Source organism: Homo sapiens, chromosome 1 (genome assembly GCF_000001405.40).
Source record: "Homo sapiens chromosome 1, GRCh38.p14 Primary Assembly".
Taxonomy (NCBI): Eukaryota; Metazoa; Chordata; class Mammalia; order Primates; family Hominidae; genus Homo; species Homo sapiens.
The window spans coordinates 13,093,984-13,101,704 of NC_000001.11; the positions used below are offsets into that span (position 1 = coordinate 13,093,984).

Sequence of the window (7,721 nt, forward strand, 5' to 3'; positions counted from 1 at the left end):
TTCTGCTTCCCAACTCGGGGCCCTGGAGCATGGCCCCAGCTCTGCCTTTGGAACCTGACAACCACACTTCATGTGCAAGCACGGCACCACCCCAAGCCCATCTTCTCCTCATGGCCCCTTTCTGCCTGTGCCTTTGTGCCCGACCGAGCTGCTCCCCACAGTCGAAAAAGTATGAAAAAACAGATGACTAAAGAGAAGTAAAGGATGGGTGCAGACCATTCGCACACCTGTAATCCCAGCACTTTGGGAGGCCAAGGTTGGCGGATCACTCAAAGCCAGGAACTCAAGACCAGCCTGGTGAACAGGGTAAAACCCTGTCTCTACGAAAAATACAAAAATTAGCAGGCTTGGTGGCACGTGCCTGTACTCCCAGCTACTTGAGTGGTTGAGGCACGAGAATCACTTGAGCCCCACAGGAAAGGATTCCAGTGATCCCAGATTGCACCACTACACTCCAGCCTGAATGACAAAGCAATATTTTTGTCTCCAAAAATAAAAAAATAAATAATGAAATAAAAGAACAAGAATGGGTGGGAATTACTCAAAATGGTCTAATTTTATTTGGCTGCTATGATGTTCCGCAGCTGAACCTCAATCACAGACAAACTAGTGCCTCGTTATTTTTCCATCAGTAACTCAATAACTAGAGATTTCTGATGTATAAATCCCTAAAACAAGTAAATCAATTACAGAGGACACCAGAAAGTTTTCACTGAGGTTCTCTATTTCTGATATTTCTTGGTAATCATCCTTGCAGGGATAACATTCTCATCACTGAAGAATTTTAGTTTCTCTTTCTGACTCTGTAGCTCTCATTGACTCCACCTCAATATTTTCCTCAAGTCTTGCCCCCTGCTCTTAGGATTTTTTCCCTCGCACTGAGCACCTGTCTGAAACAGAGCTCTGTGCTTCCTTTAAGTTGCACATGTGGCCTGGGCACAGTCGCTCATGCCTGTAATCCCAGCACTTTAGAAGGCCGAGGCAGGAGAATCCCATGCGACCAGCAGTTTGAGACCTGCTGGGGCAACATAGTGAAACACTTTCTCAATTTTTTTGTAATAAAAATATTGGAATTATTAAAAAAGGAAATAAGAAAAGAGGAAAATAACTTGCACCTACATACTAGATTTTAGTGTCCAAGGGCCTAGAAGAGAACATTGGATTTCTCTACCCCGCTAGGCACGCCTTCCCTAGCAGCAAAGATGGAGCTCCAGTTCCTCAGACGGTGATGAGCCACAGGACGGGCAGGGGGCGGGGCCAATGAAGATCCTCTTGGGCTGCCTGACTTCCCTTAGTGTACACATCAACTAAGCCCGAAGTGGGGTGAAGATCTCCCAATCGACATGAACCAAGGAATTCAAACTCTCCTCGGGGGCAGGATACATCTCCAGGCTTAACTTGCTCAGCCCACTGGTGTGGCACAGCAGGTCCTTCAGGGCTTCCATAGACATGCAATTTCTGCCAAAGTAGAAGGTGGTGAGCTGGGAGCAGCGGCTCAGGCCAGGCAGGATGGCACTGAGTTGGGAGTAGTGGATCTGACAGCCCTCCAAGATGAGGGTCTTAAGAGTAATTGCTGCCTCTCTCGAGACCCTCGTGTTGGCAGAAACTTTCTCCAGCAGAGCTCCGAGGGGTTCAAGACTGATACAGAACTGCAGCATGTAGCTGAGATTCAGATGCTTTGGGTAAGCGAGGCTTGGGTACTGGTAGAGACACTTCAAGTCCTCTTCCAATAGGTAGCCGCAAGTTAATTCCAAGTTCTCCAAGGGGTTCTAGAGGCACCTGTGGAGATCAAGAAGTTAGTTCTGGGCAATGGTACCAGTTAGATGAAGGTAGTGGGGAATGAACTCAAGGAAAATACCTGCTTCAACCAAACACAAGTTTGTTCCCACCATCTGATGATGGTCCTCATGCAAGTTGCTGCATGTTGAGGACCCTGATCATTCAGGGGCTGTCCCATTTTAGCCTCAGCCCTTTCACCATTTCTTGTGTGATTGGGTCAAGGCCACAAAATCTCTAAAGCCTTTTATCTTCATCTTTTAGCAGAAAACCTCATCTCTGGGCCACAGGTACCCGGTGGGAGATGTGCACAAAGAACTCAACTCAGCAAGGTCTAGGGACATTAGCTGGGGCTACCTGCCGGCAGGGGCTCCCTGGCCTGCCTGCATCTGCAAACCAACTGTCACTTTTTACCACTCTCACTCCTACTCCTTCACCCTCCATCCCAGAAGCATGCATGTCCCATGTCAATTGACTTTCCTGGAGTTCAAAACAACCTTCTACAGACAGGGAATCAGAGACAGGATCATTCATGATCACTAAGCTGGTGAGGACAGAGCTTCTACTGTGAAATGCACAAGTTTGATGCACTGTCCCTCCTTTCATACCCTCCTTTGTTACCTCTTTTACATCATATCAACTTGAAACACACTTTGTAACAAGAAATTCACACGTGCACATGCAGTAGAGACAAAACGCCCACTAAGTACCTTGTACATGATGTCCCTCTCTAGCCTCTACCCTAGGTGACCCCTCTGCCTTTATTGAAGTGATCCTGTGATAGCCACTCCAGGACATGGAGCACTGAACGGGACAATGTGTTGACATTCTGGTGTCCCCTGCACTGTGCCGTCGCCACTGGCTGGCACACAGTACACGTCTTCTAGTGTTTACTGTAACAAAAAAAAAGGCTGCGCTGTGGTCTGCAGAGAAAGGGCACGATCCTTTCTCACCTGATCAGCTGTCCCAGGTGCCCTCTGTGGAAGGTGACCATATTCATTTTAAGCAGCTGGAGGTGTTTCAGCCTGAGGAACATAGAGCTGATTTTGGCGACTGAGCATTCCTCGCGGTAATTGACGTGTAAGGATGGCACCTGGAGAAAAATGAGTTTGCGAAGATTCTTCATCTCCTTCAGGTAACAATGAAGCTTTCTTATCAGATGTGGCCAGGACACATAGCAAATTTCCAGCTCCTGAATACTATTCAGGTGGATTATTTTCAATGATCTTCTGAGATATTCAATCGACGTTAGATAATTCACCAACTTACTACAGCACAGGTGTACTAAACCTCTCCTTTGGTAAACCCACCGGAAGAGGTATCTCAGGCATTCATCCTGGGGTATTTCCTTGAGGCAGATGTCTATGAACACCTTCAAGGGCTGGTGCTCTCCCATCCTTGGACAGTCCTCTGCTGTCTGCCTCTTACTCATGGCCTCTGGGGAGGAGGACAGGGCCCTGGATTCAGACCATATGGCCCAGAAATTCTCATCAACATCCCGCAAATCCAGCACTTGAAGTTTCCACCTCCTGTGGGTAAAGTAAGGCAGAGGCTCAGAACTTTGAAGGACAAATCCCTGACCTTTGCTTTCATTCTCATCCAATAAATCAGCTGCTCCTGTCCTCGCTGCTCCCTGTTCTCTCTGAGTTTTCTTGGTCCCTTTTCTCTTTCAATTCTGACTGGTCCCCACTTCTATTCCATTTACCTTCCACTGGGAATAGGCAAGTTTCTGTTCCCACAGTGGACCCTATATTGTGGGCAGTTCTTTCCCTGAGGATCTGGGCAATGGCCAAGGCATGCCTGAGCTTCGTCACCAGCACCACCAGAAGACACTGGGCCATCCTTGGGATACTTCTTTGCCTGACCCTGCTGTTCTTTCCCTGGACACCTGAGCCCCATCTACCAGCCTTCCTGGGTCACCTCACCTGGGGCGATCCTTCTGTGTAAGCAGCATGTGAAGCCCTTCCAGCAATGCTTTTAAGGTCTCCAGATGAAGCGTCTTCATCAGCGATCCCAGAGGGAGGCGGGTGAAGGGCCAGGCCTGCACCATCACTGTCAGAGTCTGGAAGTGTCTCCTGCTGAAGGCCTCCAGGAAGAGTGGGAGGTAGAGCTCCCTGGGCAGCTCCTCCAGGGCAGAGATGGCCAAGGGCTTGTCTCTCAGCAGACTCTGCCCCGCCAGCTCCAGGAGTCTGGGTGGGGCCTGGATGCTCATCCTGATGAATCTGTAAGGAAAAACTCTAGAAGACAAATCCAGAGAAAAGGCATCACTTTCAGGCCAAACACAATCACCTCATCTTCTCCTAAGGCCAGTAGCATTGCTCTGGTAGAGGTAGAAAAATTACCACTTTACCCCAATTCCACTCTGCACTTGGTGGCCACAAATCTATATTTCTGCTTCTGCTGGTACCAGGAAGAATGTCTTCCAAACACCAAGGAGGGAGGGGTCAAAGAGACCACTGGCCCATTAATTTTCATCCATGGCTCCACTGAATCCCAGTACCACTGGAAAGTGTCACTGAGGATCCTGAAAGCCAAGCTCTACCTCTTTGAGGAAAATTTTCTTGTCACTTACCGCCCTAAAGCAATGAGAATGAGAGTGTCCTGTGGCCCCAGACAGCCTCCATTCTCAGTTTTCACCATGAACATGCTGGGGGAACACTAAAGGGACTCCCTAAAGTCAATGCCATTATTTTTTATTTTGAAAAATTTCAACCAGAAACTGACCGGGTGCTGTGGCTCATGTCTGTAATCCCAGCACTGTGGGAGGCCAAAACAGGCAGATCACTTGAGGTTAGGAGTTCGAGAACAGCCTGGCTTACGTAATGAACTCTGTCTCTACTAAATATAAAAAAATTAAAAATCATTTGACTCCAAAAGGCAGAGGTTGCAGTGAGCCGAGATCCCACCACTGCACTCCAGTCTGGACAAAAGAGTTAGACTCTGTCTCAAATAATAATAATAATAATAATAATAATAATAATTAATTAATTAAAATGTTAGCCAGGTGTGGTGGTGCAGTCCTATAATCCTAGCTACTCTGGAGGCAGAGGAAGAAGAATCACTTGAATCCCGGAGGCAGTGTTTTCAGTGAGCTGAACTCAACACCCTGCCCTTCAGCCTGGGTGACAGAGTGAGACTCCATCTCAGAACAAGAGAAAAGAATTAACCAGAAACTAAAAGCGACGTGATGGTATTCTAGAGCATTTGGAAGGTAGGGATAGAAATACTAACTCTAGATGAGGCACAGTGGCTCACTCCTGTAATCCCAGCACTTTGGGAGTCCAAGGTGTGTGTTTTTATTTTGAAAAACTGTAAGAGAAATTATAAAAGCAGTGTTGCAGTAGTCTAGAGCACTTGGAAGGTAGAAATGGAAACACTAAGTCTGAGGAGAAGGATCCAATACACATCCCTTCCACATACTCACAATCACACACTTAGGGACAGAGTCTAAGGGAAGAGATAAATCCCAGGTTCGGAACAAGTCTCTTGAGAATGGTGTACGGGAGATCTAAGATTTCTGTAAAATGAAAGCCTGACTAATAAAATCACAATACCGCTAAGTGTGTGAACTATAGCTGACAGGCACAGAAACCAACAACTTCACATGTCAAGACATAAACATCCATCCAACTGTAAATTTTTAATATTTTTTTTTTAAAAACTGCTTCAATAAGAATTTTGAAATGAGGAAAATGAAGCACAAATCAAAATTTGAGGGATGAAGTCAAAACTATATTTGGAGGAAAAATCAAAACCTACATCTGTTTAATCTGAAAAAACAGACAGGAAATTCTCTGTGCCATTTTGGGCTGTGTGTCACCATCCCTGACTGGCTGGCTGCAGATTAGACGGGCATGTTCCTAAGAAGGTGGTGACTTACCAGATCTGGACTCAGTTTGCAGGGTGCTGGGACCTCTCAGAGAACCAAGCAGTAGCTCCAGGCACCAGGGCTTTGGGTCTGTCCTGTGCAAACTCAGGAGCTTTTGTTGATGTTTCTAACCACACCCTCCCCTTCTCAATCACCAGCTTCCAATCAGAAAGTGATACCTGATTAGATCCTGAAGTTCCACCCAGTTAATCCTGATTGAGTTTCACACTTTCTTCTGATTCATTGATTAAATTAGATGTGCATTTATGAAAGTGAAAGAATAAATAACAGGGTGAAAGTCCAAAAGTCATTAATTCATTTATTCCCCAAACACTGATGAAGTTTGACTAACATGTGACCTTCATAGTGACATGGAAGGTTTAATCTGTTCCTGGCATTAGAAAGAAAAAACAAAACCTGATGATATCTTTATGGGAGAATATTTGGCCACATTGAAATTATCCAAACGTTTCAGAGCTAAGACAGCTTTAAAAAGACGGTGATGTCAACCCTAAGAAAACAGAATACAAAGCTCTGTTATCCAACAGTTACCTGGGTTTTATGCTTCCTAACGGGGCAGGTCATATGTGGGTTCAGGTTGAAGAGGGGAACCACTGAGGGTGTTATTGATCACAAGACTAAGGTCAAGGCTTCACTGCAGGAAATCAGGACAGAATGACAAAGTGAGGTGGGGGCTGGGCAGGATGGGACCGGGTGTTCTAGTAGAACCCTGGGAAGGAACCAAGACAGCATAAAACATGGTGGGTATTTTGTGGGCATCTCCACAGAAGGATTGAAAGACTCTGTCTGGATTGAGTTTAAAAATTAAAAAGGGAATAGTTACAGAAGAGACAGTGCAGACTCTTCAAACACAACATTGTCTTTGAGGGCAGAGAAGGCAGAAACAGTCTTGGCCCCTACTAGAAGGGAAAGCGTGTTTACTCCCAAAAATGATGGGCTCGCCTCAGAAAATCAGCCTGGGAAGATGGAATCTGAGAATCTGAGCTGGGGCAGATGCCAGAGAGAAGCAGTGTGGCCAGACCTGGGAAGGGAGACTTTCCCAACCTGGAAGCCATCGAAGGTGGGAGCTGTGGGTTTTGCAGGATGTGGGAGAAAGTGAACAAGGGTCCAAGTCTCTGTCATGGTGCTATGGTCTGGAAACCTTTCTTTTAGACTCAGGGATCTTCCCACAGTGGGACATTTCCCAGCAACCCTCACCCACAGGTGTTTCCCAGGGCCCCTCATCCTCATCAATACCCTCGTGCCATTCCCCAGCATATTTTGATAATTAATGTTCTGCCATCCTTAAAGTCCTCCCTTGTCCCTGATATTGAACAGAGAGATTCTGATTAAAGTGATACCATTAGGTATACAAAGAAAACTCAGGCCATGTGTGGTGGCTCATATCTCTAATTTCAGCACTTTGGGAGGCCAAGGCAGATAGATTACTTGAGCGCAGGAGTTTGAGACCTGCCTGGGCAACATGGAAAATTCTGTCTATAAAAACTATATACGAAAAATTAGCCAGGCATGGTGGTGTGCACCTGTAGTCCCAGCTGCCCAAGAAGTTTAGATGCGAGGATCACCTGAGCCCAGGAGGTTGAGACTGCAGTGAGCCATCATTGTGCCACTGCACTCCAGCCTGCTCAACAGAATGAAACCTTGCCTCAAAAAAAAGGAAGGAAAGAAGGAAGGAAGGGAGGGAGGGAGGGAGGGAGGGGAGAGAAAAAGACAGAAGGAAACAGAAAGAAAGGTGGAAAGAAAGAAAAAGAAAGAAGAAAGAAAGTAAGAAAAAGAAAGAAAGAAAGAAAAAGAAGGAAAGAAGGAAGGAAAGAAAAAGAAAGAAGAAAGAAAGAAAGAAAGAAAGAAAGAAAGAAAGAAAGAAAGAAAGAAAGAAAGAAAGAAAGAAAAAGAGCGAGCCTTCTTGTCTTTAAGAGCAGCGCATATATACTGTTATATTGGGTGCACACCTAAAATACATTTCCCCCACAAAACCTGGAAGCTCTATTTCATGTTGAAATATCTGCTAAGTTCACGGATGGCTCCCATCCTAAGAGGGATCACACAGTGATTCTTC

General features: G+C 45.9%; 1 pseudogene across 1 annotated transcript; it reads right to left on the minus strand.

Annotated features, from left to right (window-relative positions):
* Positions 1-531: 531 nt before the first annotated feature.
* On the minus strand, positions 532-5,734 carry PRAMEF34P (PRAME family member 34, pseudogene; annotated as a pseudogene). Its single transcript, NR_111947.1, has 4 exons — positions 5,657-5,734; positions 3,702-4,013; positions 2,730-3,305; positions 532-1,779 (listed from the first exon to the last, which is right to left on the minus strand). The product of NR_111947.1 is annotated as a PRAME family member 34, pseudogene (transcript).
* Positions 5,735-7,721: the final 1,987 nt, after the last annotated feature.